The 20,365-nt window shown below is 38.5% G+C and overlaps 2 annotated features.

The window, feature by feature from the left end:
- Nucleotides 872-1,372: an enhancer, noted in NCBI's record as "H3K4me1 hESC enhancer chr5:25330102-25330602 (GRCh37/hg19 assembly coordinates)". NCBI's record gives its function as "activates a minimal SCP1, AML or CMV promoter by ChIP-STARR-seq in primed H9 embryonic stem cells {active_cell/tissue: H9 hESC(primed)}" and the evidence as "EXISTENCE:reporter gene assay evidence [ECO:0000049][PMID:30033119]".
- Nucleotides 1,373-1,873: an enhancer, noted in NCBI's record as "H3K4me1 hESC enhancer chr5:25330603-25331103 (GRCh37/hg19 assembly coordinates)". NCBI's record gives its function as "activates a minimal SCP1, AML or CMV promoter by ChIP-STARR-seq in naive H9 embryonic stem cells {active_cell/tissue: H9 hESC(naive)}" and the evidence as "EXISTENCE:reporter gene assay evidence [ECO:0000049][PMID:30033119]".

Consider the following 20,365-nt stretch of genomic DNA (forward strand, 5'->3'; position numbering starts at 1 on the left):
TTCCCCCCTCAGATTATACAATGAATAACCCGCTGTTTTCTATTTTCTATTATGTATTCTTTTTGTTTGTTTTGGGTGGTAAGGAGAATAAGGGACAAGGAGATTTGCCACAATGAATTTCAAATATGTCCATCTGTAGATTATTTCACTGGACTCCTGAAGATGCCCCAGTGATTTTGACGGCAGAGGTGACCAAATTTCTTTGTCAGTAGTGTTTTTGACTATAACTACTCTAGGACATTTTGACATTCACAGAAAATTGTTGTCTTGTTTTGATCCTCCTCAAAAGATGGATTATAGTACTCCATTGCATGCTTCTGATAACTTTGGAAATTGTGAAAAAGTATTGACTGGGTGGACTGAACTAGTGGAAGACAGAAGTAATCTTTTTTGACTTTTGACTTTTTGTTTGGAACATTGCTGATCCTTTGTTTTGTTTTTCAGAGTCAGAGAACCTTTTTTTTTTGAGCCATTTACAGCTTTTGTCAATTGTGAGGTGAACCAACCAGTGACCCCTGACTGCAGCTCAGAAGAAACAAAAGGGATGGGCCATCAAAATCCAAGCAGTCATAAAACTGGAGTCTCGGACAATGACTCCCTTTTTACTGGGTACCCTGAGAGGAGCTCTGACTGCTGTTTTCCCCAAAAACAACGCCCTTTGTCAGCATGAAGCAGTTAAGAGTTGTAATTGTCCTTATTCTAATGGCAGTTAGATGTACCTCTTGAGAGAGGGGCTTGATGGCAGTGGCAGCTGGTCTGAAGTGGTCACTGGCATGACACCAGCTGCAGTGGGTTACAGGCACAGGCTGTGGGTCCTCAGGTACAGATGTTGAGGGAGGCAGTTCCTGGATCCTGCCCCTGGGAGCCGCCCTGAAACCCACCACCCTGGGAACCTGCCCCTGAGAGCTGCTACAATGGTGCCAGGCCAAGCCGCCTGCCAGCAAAAGAGCAGGATGGTCAGGCATGGAGGAGTAGGCAGAGAGGGGCCCCAAAGTGGAGCTGGCCTGGGGCAGAGCCGGGCTTGCAAATGCAGCATGGGGACTGGGCCCAAGATGCAGATCTGGGCCCATGCTTCAGAGGCCCATGGCAGGAAGTAGCAGTGGTGCCTGCTTTGAGGACCCAGCCAGTGATGCTGCCACTGCACCCACCCCACCAGCTGAGCCACATTCCTGCACCTCGGGGAAAGGCTCTGTGTGGGGTTGCTCGAGGTTGCACACCCAGGACCCACCCTGCATCCACGTGACCACCGAGCTTGATGTTCCCAACAGTCAGGGCAGGGCCCAAGATCCATTCCTGGAGATGTCCCCTAGGAAGGGCCATGAGCCAGGTGAAGCAGAACCCCAGGCAGCCCCTGAATGCCAGGGCCACAGGAAAAACTCACGGTGAAGTCACCCCTGCCCTGGACACTGGCCAAGGCCCAGCAAGGACCTGGAGTCCCTGCTGCAGGCTTCAAGGATGCACATCTGGGGCTGCAAGTTTCACAGAGCCAGTGGCTGCCAGGGACAAGCAGGAACCCCTCCCCTTCCAAGTTGGTGGGGAAGGAGCTCCCTGGTGCAGCTGCAGCCACCCGGGAGTGGTTGTGGATCCAGGCATCTCTGTACTCTCAGGGGCCTGGGAAGGCCACCTCCTGCCCCCACGGACTCAGAAGTGCCTGCTCCAGCTGCCTGGCTTTTCCCTGTTGTTGATGCCCACTCCATTCTCAGAACAAAGTTGGAGAAAAACCCAGGCACTGTTGCAACCTGACTGGGTATGAGCACACCCAGGGCATAACTGACATGCCAGGCTCCTGCTGCCTCAGTGCCTCTGGACTTTAGGCATTGATAGGAACAGGAGGGAGACAGATTGGGGGGCCGAGGACAGCCTGGTGCTGGCCTGCAGGTGACCCTTGGTATTAACAGCCTGGGCATCATGAACATCAGCAGGAGGCAGATAGGCACCTGGGTGGAAGGGGGTGGGACCCCGGAAAAGCCCCACCTTCAAGTCAGGGAGGGCCTGATGCATGGAGACCAGGTTGCCAGTCCTGTGGCCTGGAATGGGGACTCATGGTGCCTTTCTTGGCCTGCCCATGGCTGCCCATGGACCAACTGGTGAACACTTCCTCCCCACTGAGACTCATAAAAGCCCAGGACTCAGCCAGACTCAAGGAGATGGGACAATCAACTGCAGAGAGGAGCTGCCCACCCCAGGGTCTCCTCTCTCCTGACAGCAGAGAAGACAATGGGATGACCAGCTGCAGAAAGGAACTACCCTCTCTGCTGAGAGCCTAACACTCATTGGGACCACCTGGTTGTGGAGAGGAGCTGCTTACTGCAGATCTCCTCTGAGAGGAGCTCAATAAAGTTCCTCTTCATCTTACACACCCTCCACTTGTCTGTGTACCTCATTCTTCCTAGATGCAAGACAATAACTGGGGACCTGCCAAATGGTGGGACTAAAAGAGCTGTAACACAGACAGGGCTGAAACACGCTCCTTGCATGCCATATTGCAGGCCACAGAAGGAGAGAAGAGAGAAGAGCTGCAGCCTATCAGGGAGCCTAGACCTAGGAGGTCCCTGAGCCAGGGCTGTGACATGCTCTTTAGGGCTCTGTGGTTCCTGGCATCTCTAAGCTTCTGAGTGCTACACCACATTCCCCAGTGCCAGCCATGGAAGCTGCTAACAGTATGCACAGTCCAGCTCCAGACTTGTAGTGAGCTGGCACCCATGTTGGTGCCTGGAGCTGCCCACCCCATCGCAACCTGTGTGCAGTGGCCAGACCCCACGCTCAGTCACACATCCCTGTCCACTCCATGCCTGGCTTGCCCTTGGCAGGTATGGGATTCAGACCAGTAGCAGAAGCTGAATGCAGCCTGCCAGGCCAAGTGGGTGGAACAAACCCAGCAGGCTAGAGCAAAACTCGGCAAATGCACCACTGGCCACAGAGATTTCTGGCTGGTGAAGCAACTCCCCGAGCATTAATAGTTTCACACTGTATATTTGTAGGTGCTGGTTTTTGTGTCTTCCCCTTAAACAGATTACACGTTAATTTAAATTCTGTGAAAGCAAGTAGTTCTATTTTACCTCTATTTATCTATATCTATATACATAGATAGACACATGGATACCTATAAGGGCCTGATTCACAGTAGACATTTGATAAATGTATATTTTTAGTTCATGTATAAGAATTTGGGATAAATGATGATGAAAATGCAGTGTTAATTCATTGTTTTTAATGAGTTTTAGAGGTATTTTATCTGCATGTCTCATAGCCAAATGACAAGGCATGTATATTCTGTCTTTGTAACTTGTAAATTAGGGAAATTACACTACCTACTGCATAGTAATGTTGAGAAGAGTGATGAACACACACACACACACACACACACACATCTAGTTTTAAACAGTTCCTGAGACATAAGTGATACATAAATATAACTTACTAAATGAGTTGTTTTATTTTAAAGCTATAATTATTTATCTTGAGCACCAGTCCTGCACAGACAATAGAATGTACTCTGTTCAAATGCAGTTATTTTCATATTGCTGCTGATAATTTAATTTCCTCTACTAGAAAGCTAAACAGAATAATGGAGAAACTAAAAAATGCTTTTCTCTTTTGGTCCTTTTTCTCTAGCATAGAGGAAGCTTGGACCTTAAACTGAGTATTTAATGTAAATATTGAAAGTCAAAGATGCCCTTGACCCCTCCCACCAAAATTCACCCCTAAATAAAGACTTATTGAAAGAAACTTGTGGCAATATATTTTATATTGCATTTATTAATGAACATATAATTACGTTTAAGATCTCCTTTGAACTTCATGTTGAAAGAAAGAACTTTTGTATTATCAAGGGTTTTGGTATTGTTAACACACTTCCACCAATTCTTTTTCACATTAACTCATATGGGTTTTATAGTGAAACCTACACTTTTGGCATAATCAGTACTCTCAGGGAGATTAGTGAAGAAAGAAAAACATCAACATCAACTTTCCACAAGACTGTTTTTCAATTCTATTCCAAACTTACATATTTTCATTTAACACCAATAAAATAGACAAGTTATACTCAAAAACTTTTCAAAAGGTTGTTGAATTTTTATTCCCAAAGCCACAAAAATAGTCTAATTGATTTAAGAATAATGAAACCTTTTAAACAAAATTAATTCCTACACTTTTATATTAATATATTTTAATGAAACTCACAGAATCAGATTATACAATTTAATCTAATAACAGGATTACTATATAATAATAAAAATATTGTTTCACATATTTCCCTTCTGTATAATATTGAACACTATAATATTTAACTTTAGTAAGAAGTAATATTATTGTAGGGATCCTAAATATGTATTCAGAACCTTTATTTTAACATTTTGTTTGTATATGAAAATAATTGATAGTCCACTTCCTTAATACCCACTCCAGTCAAAGGGCTTTCACATATATGCAAAGATTTCTAAGCAATCAATTGCAGTTTGATGATTGAATAGAACAATATCCATTTAAAAATACAATTTTAAGGAAATCAGTGCATAAAAATGATACCTGCAACCCTCATGTTTCTTGCAGCTCTATTCACAGTAGCCTAGGTGTGGAATCAACCTAAATGTCCATCGATGGATTAATGAATTTTTAAAATGTGGTATAAAATAAGGAGTACCATTCAGCCATAAAAAACGATGAAATTCTGTTATATGCAGCAACATGGCTGGAACTAGAGGCTATTATGCTAAGTGAAATAAGCAAGGCATAGAAGGACAAAATTTGCATATTCTCACTGATATCTGGGACCTAAAAAAATTAATCTGGATGTAGAGAGTAGTACGATGATAGTTACCAGAGGCTGGGAAGGATGAAGGGGTGGGATGAATAGATGCTAGTTAATGGATACAAACATACCGATAGATAAGATTTAATTCTTGTGTTCAATAGCACAGTAGGGTGACTACAGTTAACAATAATATATTACATATTTCAAAGTAGCTAGAAGATTTAAAATGTTTTTGTCACAAAGGAATAATAAATGTTTGACGTAATGAATGTTCCAGTAACTCAGATTTAATTCCTACACATGGTATGCATGTATCAAAATATCACCATAACCCATAAATATGTAGAATTATGTATTAATAAAAATAAACTATTAATCAAAAGTTCCCACATATACAAAGAATAAAAAACAATTATACCACAAATGATATTTACAAGTTTATTTAACCAAAATTTTAAAACATATAAAACCCTTTCCTCCTAGAAAATTTTCCCATTAGTATAAGTTCTTCTGTTCAACTTAATAATGGATATGGTAAAAGAGAATTGAACTGAGCAGTTAAATAGATGTGACGGTTAATACTGAGTGTCAACTTAATTGGATTGAAGGATACAAAGTATTGTTCCTGGGGGTGTCTGAAAGGGTGTTGTCAAAGGAGATTAACATTCGAGTCAGTGGACTGGGAGAGGCAGAACCACCGTCAGTCTGGGTGGGAATCATTTAATCAGCTGCCAGCATGGCTAGAATAAAGCAGACAGAAGAACGGGAAGACTAGACTTGCTGAGTCTTCCAGACTTCATCTTTCTCCCACGCTGCATGCTTCCTGCCCTCGAACATCAGATTGCAAGTTCTTCTGTTTTTGGACTCTTGGACTTACAACAGTGGTGTGCCAGGGGGTCTCAGGCCTTTGGCCACAGATTGAAGGCTGCACTGTTGGCTTCCCTTCCTTGGGGACTTGGACTGATCTACCACTGCTTTCCTTGCTCCTCAACTTGCAGACAGCCTATTGTGGATATTTACCTTGTGATTGTGTGAGTCAGTTCTCCTTAATAAACTCCCTTTCATATATACATCTATACTATTAGCTCTGTCCTTCTAGAGAACCCTGACTAATACAATAGGCAACGGAGATTTTATTCAAGACCATTGCAAAAGGCAAGCAGAAGAGTTTCTGAGCATGAGTGAGTGAATGAAAAGGTACTGGAGGGCTTTGGGTTGGTGTGGGGGTGGTGTTGGTCTTTGTGATTAAGCCATCTGTGTTTGATAATTGGCCCCTATGGAAGTTAGGCCCCTGCAGTCTCACAATGACTGGAAAACAGGGGCTCTATCTTTCCTAATGATAACCTTTTAAAGGGATGGCCTGAAGGTCCATGAGAAGGACATTCCTGGGATGTGAAACTGGCAAGAGACTTTTAAAAATGCTTATATCTCAAAGAGGCAGAGAAAAAATTTACAACGTTTTCTAAAGAAAATCCTCTATAAAGATGAAATTCAGAGGCCTATAGTCCAGGTTAAAACAAACAAACAAACAAACAAAAAAACAAACAAACAAAAAACTGTCTAAATATTTAGTCAAGCTAAGGGAAACTTTCAGCCTGCCTTGCTCAATACAATGACTATTGCCATAAAACAAGACAAAGGCATGTGAGAGAGAAGGTAGAAATTAAGATGTAGATTATTATAATAAGCTGCACATATAGATGCAACCTATCAAAGGAATTGAGTAGTTTTCCCCATACCAAGCAAAATCCACACTGAAAATAAAATAAAAAATGAGGTAGAGTCAGGCTTGTAACCCCAGCACTTTGGGAGACCAAGACAGGAGGATTGGTTAAGGCCAAGAGTTTGAGACCAGCCTGGGGAATATAGGAAGTTCCCATCTCCACCAAAACTTCTAAAAATTAGCCAGGCATGGTGGTGTGTTCCTGTAGTCCTAGCCAATCACAGAGCCCAGGAGTTCCAAGTGTCAGTGAACTATGATGGCACCACTACATTCTAGCCTGGGCAACAGAAGGAGACACTGTCTCTATTTTTATTTATTTATTTATTTATTTATTTATTTATTTATTTATTTATTTATTGGAGATGGAGTCTCACTCTGTCACTCAGGCTGGAGTGCAGTGGTACAATCTTGGCTCACTGCAACTTCCGTCTCCTGGATTCAAGTGATTCTCAGCCTCCCAAGTAGCTGGGATTACAGGCATGTACCACCACGTCTAGCTCCTGTTGGTATTTTTACTAGAGATGGGGTTTCATCGTGTTGGCCAGGCTGATTTGAACTCCTGACCTCAGGTGATCCCCCCACCTAGGCCTCCAAAAGTACTGGAATTACAGGTGTGAGCCACCACACCCAGCCTATTTTTTTTTTTTTAAGACAGAAAGAATCCAAACGATAGAAAAAATAGGATATATCTGGAAATAATATATAACACATCACATAATATAAAGCATAAGTTTTTAATAGAAAAAAATAAAACTCTAGAAAGCACCTGCAAGAATACTTCATAAATAGAGAATGTGTACCATGTGTATGTAAAAGGAGACATAACAAATCAAAAAGTCAATTTTCTCTAACCTAATGAAGGTCCATCAGTAACTAAATCAATTTTATAAAACTTTATTGTTTTTAACAAATCATCATGATCTGATTTAAAAAGGAAAATCTGATATATTAGTTTTTCTAAAATTAAAAAATATTATTTGTTGCGCTTAATCCATTGGAAATTTTTGTTTATTTGTAATATAAAATAAAGGTTTTTTAAAAGTTTTTAAAAAGTTATTTTCCCAAGCAGTGTTTATTGAACCATCTCTCCTCCTCCTCACTTGGAGTGCCAAAACTGACTTTGTTATTATGTCAATAAATTTCTATATTCTCTTTAAATGCTCTATTTGTTTATCCCTGAGGCAACATCACACTTACTTATATTTTATAGCTTTAAAATAGCACTGATATCTAGTCGGGCAACTTTTGCCACACCTATTGCTTTCCCTTTCTCAGAATTTTCCTAATTTGTATTGACTCTTACTATTTCCATATGAATTTAAGAGCACTGTTATTTATTATGAAAAAATAAATTCACTCAGATCTCTGCTCAAGGGTCACCTCACCTAAGTCTGCATAGTTGTTTTACTTTTCTACATGGGTTTGACGCATGTGTGTGAGTGTGCACATGCGTGTGTGCATGTAAGACATTCCGTAGTATATTGTGTGTAGCATATGAATTTTATATTTCCTATTATATATTAACATGCCTTGTTTATTTGTCTACCTGTTTGAAAAGCTCTTTGATGGCAGAGATTTTGTCAATTTTGATTGTTGTTATGTATCCAACATAAACAACATTCCCCAGCATGCAAAAAGCTCTAAATAAATACACATTAAATGAATAATATCTATCACATCCACCCACTCTCACTCCAAATACTTATTACAGGAATACAGACTTTCAACCAAAGCTCACCTAGTATTCTCCTGATGACTGTTATTGATCCAGAAACGGCATGTGACCTAAGCTGGCCTATTCAAACTGAAAGATTTTGTTCCCTTAATAGGGGAAGTGCCTTCCTCAATCTCCCACAGGTAGAAAAGATAAAGTGTATGACCTCAGATGCTGGGATGCTGCTGATAGATTCTTTGTGACAATGAGGAAAATTACCCTGAAGATAAAGATTCAAAAGAAGGCAGGACAGAGTCACTAGCAGGAATCATAACATAGAAATAGGCCCTGAACTCAGGACCTGTATATCTTACCTTTTAGATTACAGATATTTTTAATTGAATAAGCAGATGAACTAGAGTTTAATATTGCTTGCACTTGAAAACACCTTACTGGAGTGTTTTCCTTCAAATTTTCCTTCAAAAAGAATTTGAAATGACTGATTTTTTCCTAAAAACTTTCAAAAACTGGTTAGTGGCTCTACACAAAATAAGAGAAACAGAAACACATCATCATCATCATTATCGTCATGATCATCATCACATGGCCATTGGTCATCTCAGTTCTTGAAAGTCAGCATAAGATTATAATCCAGGTTACAGGCTCCAGATCCAAATGAAGTTTCTAAGTTAAAATTTCAGCCATATTACTTGTGTGTATTCTACTTTTGAGCAAATTTCTAAGACTCATTTTCTTTGGAAATTTTTGAAACTTCAAAATGTGTTATTAGTGGTAATATAGTAAATGCTGGGAGAGAAAGGTTACAGGCTATTACTTAGGAATTGGGAGATATTTATTGGGGTCTAATGTAAACTTGACAATACATGCAACATTGGTCAAATAGCGACTGATTTGATAAAAGGAAGAAATATAGTAGGAAAAATAAAAGAGAAAAAATCCTCACATTTTTTGGCTTTGAATGTATTATTGTTTTCTTTGTTGAATAGAAGCTGGCTTCTGAAAGGACTCAATGTAAATGCTTAATTACTGGTAGTTTTGTTATTTTCTCTTTAAATGTGATTTCAATGTTGAACTTGGGTCATAAATATATTTTTTAAATACAATGTAGTTACTTTGTAAAATTATGTATTCCACATTACACATATGAAGACAAGAAATTGTAGACCCTGCAAAAAACTTGTTCCCTGGGTTGCAAGTAACAAATAAATCATGATGCTAGATTTATTATCTGTTAATCACATTGAACGTCTATCACGCAAAGCCTGTAGTCTGTTACAAAATGTGCTTTTGAGGGCTGGGTGCAGTGGTTCACACCTATAATTCCAGCCCCTTGGGAGGCTGAGGCAGGAGGATCCCTTGATCTCAGAAGCTAGAAGTTACAGTGAGTTGTGATTGTGCCACTGCATTCCAGCCTGGAAGACAAAGCAAGACCTTGTCTCCTAAAAATGTATTTGTTTCACTTTTAATGAGATAGGTAGGATGTCATTATGGGCTATAGAATAGAGGAGTGACACAATCTGGGAAGAGTTGAGTGTGGAAGCAGAAGGGTTGGTTAGTGATTACGAGGTATTCCTGGAGATGGATAATATTGACTTGGATCACTGCAGAGGTGGTGAGAAATGTTCAAGTTTTTCCTATTGTTTGATAGGCAAAGCAACTACATTTGCTGATGTATTGTATGTTAGGAGGTGACAGAAGAAAATCAAGATGACTCCAAGTTTTGAGGCTAAAAACCTGGAATAAAGGAATTAAACTTTACTTACATAGAAAATATATGTAGCAGGAGTGTTGGGGGAGGTAGGTAAAGAGTATGTTTTGAAATTTCTTTGGATGTCCAGTTGGAGGTGTTCATGAGAAGGGAGTTGAATACAAGGATATGGGTTTATGGGAGCAATGAGATGTGGAATTATAAAGCTGGGTTTTTTTAAGCATATATAATATTTAAAGCCATGAAACCAGATGAAATTGCATGGCAAAGAACAAAACAACTGACTGGAAAGCTGGGGAGTATCTCCAGTAACTGTAATGCAAATATTTTTTATAAATACAAAAGCGGCTATTATTTCATGCTCGGGTAGTACAAATGGATAAGTGATGAGTAGGTTTCCCCAGTGTTGTGACCTTATCACATTGTGATGTTGGAAGAAAAGCAAGAAAGAGAAACCAAACAAGAAAAAGCAAAGATAGTGAGGGAAAAGTCAGAGACAAAAGGTTGCATCTCTAAGAAATGTATAAGACAATACGGAAGATTGTATTAATTTCCCATGAATAATGAGTGAAAGTTTTCATAGCATTCATATCTATAGGTTTGATTGAGTTTGTTGATTATAGTGGGAATTTATGGTATTCTACCTGATTCCCTTGACCTGTAGATGTAATCATCTGCAAGCTTTTGCAACAGCTGAAAATACGGGCTTAAAAAGTACAGGTTTCTCCAGAAGCGCATTTTCTCAGAAAATCATGCACACCAGATTCCTTACTTCAGCCTCTGTTTTCAGGAATGACTACCTAAGGTGGATTCTGGATACATTTTGAAGATAAGGCTGATACGATTAGCTCGTAGTTTAGTTCTGAAAAGTGAGTAAAAGATATGATCAAGGATGCCTTTGATATACGATCCCAGAGAAGAAATGCTAAAGATGAGTTGATGGATTTAGCTCACTCACCAGCTGGATAAAACTAAAGCCACTTTCACTGAGGTAGGTACAACATCGATATTCCCTGGTATTCTGTAGCTGTAGAAACATTAAGATGTGCACCTGTGTTGAACTAGGATGAGATACACAGAATGGAATGTACTGATTTGTATGATATTTATGATACTGCTGGGACTAGAGATATATAGGTAGTAGTAATTATTAGGACCATGCAATCAATTGACTGTTACTGAGCACCAGTAATATTCTGAAAGAGAAAAATGTTAGACTCAAAGAAATTCATCATGCATGCAAAGAAAAATGTGGCACCCACAAGTCCTCCTGATCAGCAAAAAGTCCTCGTCTACTGTAGTTGAATGGCTGAACACCACACACAGGTCCTATTTATGAGAAGCAGAACATCAGTAAAGGCTGAATTTTTTAGCTTTGCAAATCTACTATGCCAAAGTCTGGGCCCTGAACAGAGAAGAAGTAAGAACCTGAAATATATCATAGCCGATGACTGAGAAACGGGAAGGCCCAAAATCCTCCAAAGGCATGGATCTGCAGGAACAGCCCATTCTTCGTTAGATGAAAGAGCCCTCTGCTTCGCTTGCTTGAAGACTAGGCAGAAGCTTCAAATGAGGCAGTATCATACAAGATAATGCTTGCCCTTTTAATTATATGCCCCAGTTATACTCCTGGCAATGAAACCACTAATTAGGGTGAAAACTCAGTCTGACTTAGCAGGGAAATCAATGAACCTGCCTAAAGGAAGAATGGAGTTACATAGTAAAGTAGCTGCTGAACCTGAATAATATGTACTGGCACAAACATGGAGCATATTCATAGGAATGGTTCTGAATCCAGGGATTTAAAAGTTAATCTATAACTGAACGAGTCTGTCAAAAAGAGTCACTCTTTTATATCACATTATTTAAATTGCTAACAAGAGAATGAGGGGCCAGGTATAATATTCTTCAAGGATGCATTTTAGAGACTTAAAGAAACAGTCCCTATGAAATGAAGCAGAGTTTTCAGAAGCCCTGTGGAAGACTGTGGAAGATGGGTCAAGAAGTTCAGAGAACTGGCCTTAAAAGAATGACTCTACTGTATAAAATCTGAAACCCACCAGCTGACTGTGTTTCCTGGGCACAGGAGGACACTGTGTTATGGTGGCAATGAGGAAACAAAAGCATTGAGAATGTGATTGGTGGCTGATCTGTGTAGTGCAGTGCTTACAGAAGTATATTCTGTTATAGAAATTGCATACCTAATAACAAGAAAATGATTGGAAGCTGTGCGCTCAGAGGCCAATGGAATCCTGTAACCATTAGCAGCAAGGTGGGTGGAATAACCCTAATCAATAACCAGTTAGAAATGGCTGACACAGAGTAACCTTTTCCTCTGGTATGTATGGATGTGGATAGAAAGAAATAGACTTCCTTGGGACAAATTATTTGAACAACCAATAAGAAAATTGTGTAATAACTTTAGCTATAGATATTATTGTCAGGGCCAACTCTGTTGATATGACTTTGATGATCAGATGCATGTTAATTCTGGAAACTGATGAGTAACTCATTACTTTCCATTGAAGTAATTTCCTTCTGCTCATAGATGGTAGATCTGTTTGGTTTATTATATAAACTCATTTAAGCCCCAAACTCAGACTCATTTTACCACTCTCTTACACATAATCTACAATTCCCCAAACCTGAATATCACTTCAATTAAAAATCCTCATAACATTAAATAAATTTCTCCTTTGGATTGAAATTTATCTAGTGCAACCTCTGAAACCTACATTGGTAGAGTTTCATAATTCTTTCCCTTTTCAACGACCTGTGACAAAGGCATGCTGGATATTTCCATGTCTGGTTATAAGCCATTATGACAAATTGTCTCTTCAATAATTTTATTTTACTCTTCACTTATCTGTATTATAATGTATGGCATAACTGAAGTGGCCTGAAAATATCATGTACTTTTCTAAAGATTACTACCAATTCTCCAACACTGATTAAAACTGTATGATATATAGTTCTATATAAATATGCATATACATACATATCTATATAACTATGCCTATAGTTATACTACTACTACTTTCCCAGTAGTAGAAAGAATTATGACTCACCCAAAGCTTTCCATGCCCTAATTCCCTGAACTTGTGAATATATTTCCTTGCTTGGCGAAAGGGATTTTGCAGATGTGATCAAAGCTAAAGACCTTAGAATAAGGAGATTATTTTCGATTATCTGGGTGTAATTCAGATATTGTAATCACTTGAGCTCTTACAAATAGAAGAAATAGGCAGAACAGTCAAGAAGATGCAACACAGTGATGTAAGAAGGCCAGGAGGTGTGGTGGCAGGTTTTTAAATAAAGGACTCACCAAAGAGTCCCAAGAGTGGCTCCTAGCAGGTAAGTGTGGTTCCCAGCTGACAGCCAGAAAAGAAATGGCTGTCAACCACGTGGGAGGACTCCCCTGAAGCTTCCAGAAAGAAAAGAGTGGTCCTACCAACACCTCTATTTTGTTCTTGTGACACACTGAGCAGAGAACCTACCTTTGCTATTTTGTGCCTAGATTTAAGCCCCATCAAAATTATGAGGTCATAAATGAGCATTATTTATGCCACAATATTTGTAGTAATTTGTTATGACAGTGTATTCATCTGTTCTTGCACTGCTATAAAGAAATTCCTGAGACTGGGTAATTTATAAAGAAAAGAGGTTTAATTGGATCACAGTTCTGCAGGCTGTACAGGAAGCATGGCTGGGGAGGCTACAGGAAAATTACAATCATGGTGTATGGCAAAAAGTGAGCAGGCACATCTTATACAACAGGAGGAGGGGAAAGATGAAGCAAGATGCTACACACTTTTAAACAACCAGATCTTGCAATAACTCACTCTTACCACAAAAACACTAAGGTGGATGTTGTTAAACCATGAGAAACCAATATTGGAGATTACAATTTGACATGAGATTTGGGTGGGGACACAGATCCAAGCCATATCAGGCAGTGATATAAAAGTAATTCATACAGTGACCTCCCATTCCCACCGCCAATAAAATTAAGCCACAGAAGACTCAGTGGTGCTGTCTTTGAGTTAAGTAGTCAAAGTATCCTGCCTGGGGGAGCTTTAATTTATGTATATATTTTTTATGTTTGTTTCTCTAGATTTGCTGTTGTTGTTAGTTCCTATCTTTTTTTTTTTTTTTTTTTTTTTTTTTTTTTTTGATGGAGTCTCACTCTGTCGCCCAGGCTGGAGTGCAGTGGCACGATGTCGGCTCACTGCAAGCTCCGCCTCCCGGGTTCATGCCATTCTCCTGCCTCAGCCTCCCGAGTAGCTGGGACTACAGGCACCCGTCACCACGCCCGGCTATTTTTTTTTTTTTTTTTGTATTTTTAGTAGAGACGGGTTTCACCATGTTAGCCAGGATGGCCTCCATCTCCTGACCTCATGATCCACTGGCCTCAGCCTCCCAAAGTGCTGGGATTACAGGCGTGAGCCACCGCGCCCGGCCTTCTCTCTTTCTAATGTCTCTGTTCACATTTGTGGGCTAATATTCTTATGTTGAAGCATCTTATTTTCATTTCATCTCTCAAACCTCATACATTTCTCTGCTTACTTTTACTTTTTCCATCAGAGTTACATATTCAAATATTTTTGTCCCAAATATACCTGATTTAATACATTTGTTATGTGTGCACATTATTTACTAATTTACAGCTGCAGAAAGGTGATATCTTATTTTTAAATTAAAAGGACACAACAAAGTGTATGTAAGGCACTGTGAAGAGCTGTTTCTTATTTGCTGTTTTTTTTTCTTTTCTTTTTTTTCCCTTCAACTTGGAACTTGTGAGTTTCTTTTTATTAAGACTTTTTAGAGAAAAAGAAAACCAAGATCAGAGATGTGAGGTAATAATAAGCTTGAGTTCACACAACTAAAGGAATTGCCAATGTGGATGTGAACCCAGCATAATCTGACTTCAAAAGATCGGCTCTTATAGCCACTTCATAATACCTCTCTCAGGGGCATTAAACTGTGTCTTCCAGCGTATTGTTATCATAGTACAGGGCCTTCCACAATGCTGGGCATAGCAAAAGTGCTCAATATATATGTATTTCACTGACTTAGTCTGAAAAAAACAAAAAACGATAGAAGCTTTTGGCTCAAGATTAAAATAGACTAAAACAGAAGGGATTAAAATGAAGGGACATCATCCTCTAACATTCTGTGTAGGTATCGCCCCCCTGCCCCCAGAAACCCTCTCAGATACTAACACACTATATAAGAAAAAAAATTGTAATCTGTATCTTCATGTTATTTCAGAATATTATTTATTCTCATTGTAAATATTGTTGTAAAGTAAGGTAGGATAGTGTTTGACAGCATATTTTTAAATTAGACTGTCTTGAATCTGGGCTCCGCTATTTGACCAACTAAAACCCATTCCTATTTGTCTTTTATTTGCTCTTCTAGTGTAGAAGGGCAAAACCTAAACCATCTACTAATTGACCCTTCACAGAAAAAAGTTTACCACTGTGAACTCTAATCTGTCAAATTTTTTGGTACCTTATGCCCTTTTTTTCCTTCTTTCTCATTCCTCGAATATTAGTTTCACATTTTAATACAGCTAGCTCTATTTTTCATTCAGGTTTTACCTGAAAGATCACTTTTTTTTTTTTATTTTTGAGACGGAGTCTTGCTCTGTCGGCCAGGCTGGAGTGCAGTAGTGTGATCTCCTCTCACTGCAAGCTCCGCCTCCCGGATTCATGCCATTCTCCTGCCTCAGCCTCCTCAGTAGCTGGGACTACAAGCGCCCGCCATCATGCCCGGCTAATTTTTTTGTATTTTTAGTAGAGACAGGGTTTCACCGTGTTAGCCAGGATGGTCTCGATCTCCTGACCTCGTGATCCGCCGGCGTCGGCCTCTCAAAGTGCTGGGATTACAGTCGTGAGCCACTGTGCCCGGCAGATCGCTTTTTTTAAGATAAGCTCTCCCTTTGTTCTCTTCCACCTCAACTTTTCTGATTTTTATGATAGCATTCATTGTTCTTGTCACAATTATTTAAATGTATATGTTGTTGATTTTTGTTTTCTCCTCACTTCTTTACTCAAAGAGAACAGACACTCATTTGCCTGTTCATAAGTGTATCAGCATGGTCTTAAGATGTTACCATATTTTACAGATTTATTGAAAAAAACAAATATGTTCATACATAACATGTGCTATCTTGCCTCATATAAATTATCATATAACACATTTCTTTCTAGATATCATCTTTGAATGAGTGTAGTTATCACAGATTTGGTGAATAAAGTTATTTTTAGAGTTAAGGCTCTGTTTGACTGATAGCATTGCTATTACCTCAGAAAGAGCAACCGATCTGCTTCGGGTCTCATGAAGTTGATAGGCTTTTTTTTTTTTCTTTACAATTTGCTTTTCTTCAGCAATTTTTAGAAATATTACTGTCACTCAAATGTGTTCATCTTCAAATTCTACTTCCATTAAATAAGAATAATTGACAGCTCTGTAGAAAAGTGAGGCACTGAATTGTGATAATCACCCAGGAAATTGCCTCATTCCTCTGTTTTCGTTTTGAATGAGAAGGAAGAGCCAATATTTGCGAACTCAGGCAGTTGGTTTAAGTGGAACAAAAGAAACTTGCTGTGACTCTGTTTGAGACATAGTGTCTTTACTAAGCAGTTTTCCATTTCAATACGATTTGGAAATTTAGTGCTATTTATAGTACATTCAAGACTTGCCATGCTTCATTGCTAAGGAATATTGATGTTTTGTATCTAGACTCTTCTTACTTACAAACTCTAGTTTTAAAGGCCTGACTTTTACAAGGCAATCCTATAAAAATTAGAAAAAATGATCACCAGCCCTTAATATATTACTTGATAAAACATGAATGTGTTATTGCTAAACTTGCTAGGAATTAGAGTGAGAATTCCTTAAACATGTGCACGCATACACACACACACATCCCACACACAAGTGCAGACAACATATTTCTACATGTTTCTAGGCTTATATACATATATGTTTATATAGGTTTCTATTCTTTTCTTTGGTAAGATCAGGTATGATTGTATAATGTGTTTTTACTTTAATGAAAAGTAACGTCTTAAGTTTCTTAGCACTTCATATAATGTCTTATATAAAATGTTTATAAAAATTTGTTGAATTGGATTCAATTTGTCCTTTGTACTAGTGTGTTTGAGCTGTGTAACAAAATTCCATAGACTAGATGGCTTAAAAAATAATCCCAGCACTTTGGGAGGCCGAGGAGGGTGGATCACGAGGTCAAGAGATGGAGACCATCCTGGTCAACATGGTGAAACCCCATCTCTACTAAAAATACAAAATTAGCTGGGAGTGATGGCACACGCCTGTAGTCCCAGCTACTCAGGAGGCTGAGGCAGGAGAATCACATGAACCTGGGAGGCAGAGGTTGCAGTGAGCCGATATTGCGCCACTGCACTCCAGCCTGATAGACAGAGCAAGACTCTGTCTCAAAAAAAAAAAAAAAAAGAGAGACATTTGGTCTGGAGCCTGGAACATCCAAGATCAAGGTTCAGTATGGTTTATGGTGATGGCTCTCTTGGTTGTGTCTTCACATGACAGTCACATGACAGGAAGAAGGATGGAGGAAGAGGAAAGAGAGAGATCTTTTCCTTTTAGCAGTCCTGTAGCATTAGAACTCCACTCTGATGGCTTCATTGAATCTTAATTACCTCCTAACGATTCTATCTTCAGACGTGGTCACGTCTGCAGTAAGACCTTCAACATATTAATTTGGGAGGATGCAATTCAATTATAGCACTTATCTTTGGAGTTTTTTTTAATTTATCTACTTTTTCTTAATTTACTTATGAAAATAAAATTTATGAAATATTATTTACTGAAATTAATGTCCTACTTAAAACAATATTCTTACTTAGACCATAACAATACCCATTTTTACGTGAACACATTAACATTAATCTTTTTATATCTTCATATTTAGAATGATGAATATTTATACTTGTCTCAGTTATGATTGGCAGGTTTATTCCTAGAAAAGCTTGCTTTAAATTTCAAGGAATGAAAGTTGGCTATGGTAAATAAATAATTATTGTAGCATTTTTTCCTACACCTTATAATTATAAACTGGACAATTCTTTCCTCTGAGTTTACATGATGACGTTTCAAAGTGACAAATTTTTCCATTCCATCATCTGGAAATTATCCATCCTTCATCATTCTCTTTCTTCCTCTTGACTTCTTCAAGCTATGGCCATAATGCCATTTTCACATAGGAGTTTTATTAAGTTAGACCAATTAAAGTTATATTAAATCTTAAAGTCTAAGATTATATAGAGAAATCTGTTTCATTTTCATCATTGAATCACAATAAAAACCCCACTTCATAGCCACAGAAAATCCTAAAAAGAATGCTGCTGGTACTTGCCCATTCACCCTGAACTACTCAATTTCTTCATTGCAAGGACCTCAGTTCTCTACCACATTCTTACGTGGCAGAACTTCTAGATTTCTCTCCATCCTCACTATTCCTTGCCAATACCTTCTACCTTAGAGGAATATGTTTTAAATTACGACATCCAAAATTATACATATATTTGTGTGACTTACGTAAATGAAAGATTTAAAAATTTTTCAGGTGGACCTGACCCCAACATCAGAAATCATGTGCATTGTATTAATGTTCCTCCTAAAATTTAGGCAACAGATAACTTTTTTTTTTTTTTGAGACAGATTCTCGCTCTGTCACCCAGGCTGGAGTGCAACGGTGTGAAACCTCTGCCTCCTGGGTTCAAACAATGCTTCTTGCTGCAGCCTCCCGAGCAGCTGGGATTACAGGCGCCTGCCACCACTCCCGGCTAATTTTGTGTATTTAGTAGACACCGGGTTTCGCCATGTTGGCCAGACTGGTCTTGAACTCCTGACCTCAGGTGATCCGCCCGCATCAGCCACCCAAAGTGCTGGGATTACAGGAATATGTCTTAAAATCACTTAAGAGAAAGTGAGGTCCTATCTCAAATATTTATTATCTCCTGGGCAGAAAGTGCTGTTATTTCCTTCCCTAGGGAACTCTTTTGGCACTTATAAATGTTTTTGTTTGTCTGGTTGTTTTTTGTTTTTTGTTTTGCTTTAGTTTTCATTGGCCAAGGCCTCATGTAGCATTCTCTGGATCTGTATAGTCTTAATCTCATTAAGGGAAGAAATAAATGAAAGAGTTTTAACCCAAACAACCCTGGCTAGCTGAACTGGGATTCCTTTGAAATGAACATAATACATGAGATTACACATCATTCCATCTCCAAAACACAAGTCCACTCCTACTATAGTTTTCAGAACAGGGCTTTGAGAGATTTTCCACTTTGTCTGAGCAAGACACATAAAGTCTATCCTCTTCCCAGCAGTAAACCTCAGTTATAGTCAGACTTCCAAGTCTGCAGGAACTTGAAGCATTACAAATAGGAATGAATTCAAGTTTTTTTGTGTGTGAATGGGTTGCCTTTATTTGCTTCCCACACTGTTTTAGACACTTTGTTTGCACATATATGATCTAACTGTATTGTCAAATTTGTTTAACATTTATTTTAAAAATCTTGTCATCTATTAATTAATATAATAATGGGTAGAGACATTTGCAATTTGGGACAAGTTACAAACCTAAATTCCTGTTTGCTGATCTTTAACATCAAGATAACAAACATTTAACATTATGCATACATTATAGGAGGGCTTGGTAAATATCAGTTCTTTGATTTATCATGTTGATATTGATAAGAGAAATACACCATAGAACAATACTAGGTTTAATTAAGGTTTCCAATATTCAGTATTCAATATCTGACATATTCTTTACTTTTTAGTTAACCATGGGTAAGAAATTAAATTTGTGGGCTGATATGGTCAATTTGAAGTTTCCCAAGCTCTTAACTATTCCACTTTTTAAAAGTGGAGTTCTTTTTTTTTAGTATGATCTAGTATGCTTGATTAATCCATGTAACTATATGTATACTCAAATAAACTGTGTTCTCATAGTCTCATAAATATATTACAAATGAGGCTACAAGGGGTGAAACGACTCTCAGAAGCAACTGTTGCAAGGTTCTAAAGACTCAAAAAACTCTCAATATCGATAAGAAAATAAGTCACATAACTTTTACATCAACCAAATTAAAAAATAATCTATGATTGTGAGAAAGGTGCAATGCCTAGCAATATTAGCAGCACCAGGCTACTGTGGTTTTTTTTTATTTATTCATTGCCCTGACAAATTATATGTGAATTATGCAGCCATGTCTTTGGTTAAAAGTTGCCCTGTAGGATGAAGGTTATAATTAAAGGAAAAGTAAATATGCATTTAATTTAACCTTCAAGAAAGGAAGAGACCATCTGGTTTATTTCAATGCCTTTACTGTGCAAATATAGGTATAGTGGTTCATACACCCTATTATTGACACCACTTTTATGGATCATTTCTTACTGTGTTTCCCTTAGGGAAACACGTATAATGTGACAGAGAGGTTGGTAATGATGCGG

The sequence above is a fragment of the Homo sapiens genome, chromosome 5 (genome assembly GCF_000001405.40).
Source record: "Homo sapiens chromosome 5, GRCh38.p14 Primary Assembly".
Lineage (NCBI taxonomy): Eukaryota > Metazoa > Chordata > Mammalia > Primates > Hominidae > Homo > Homo sapiens.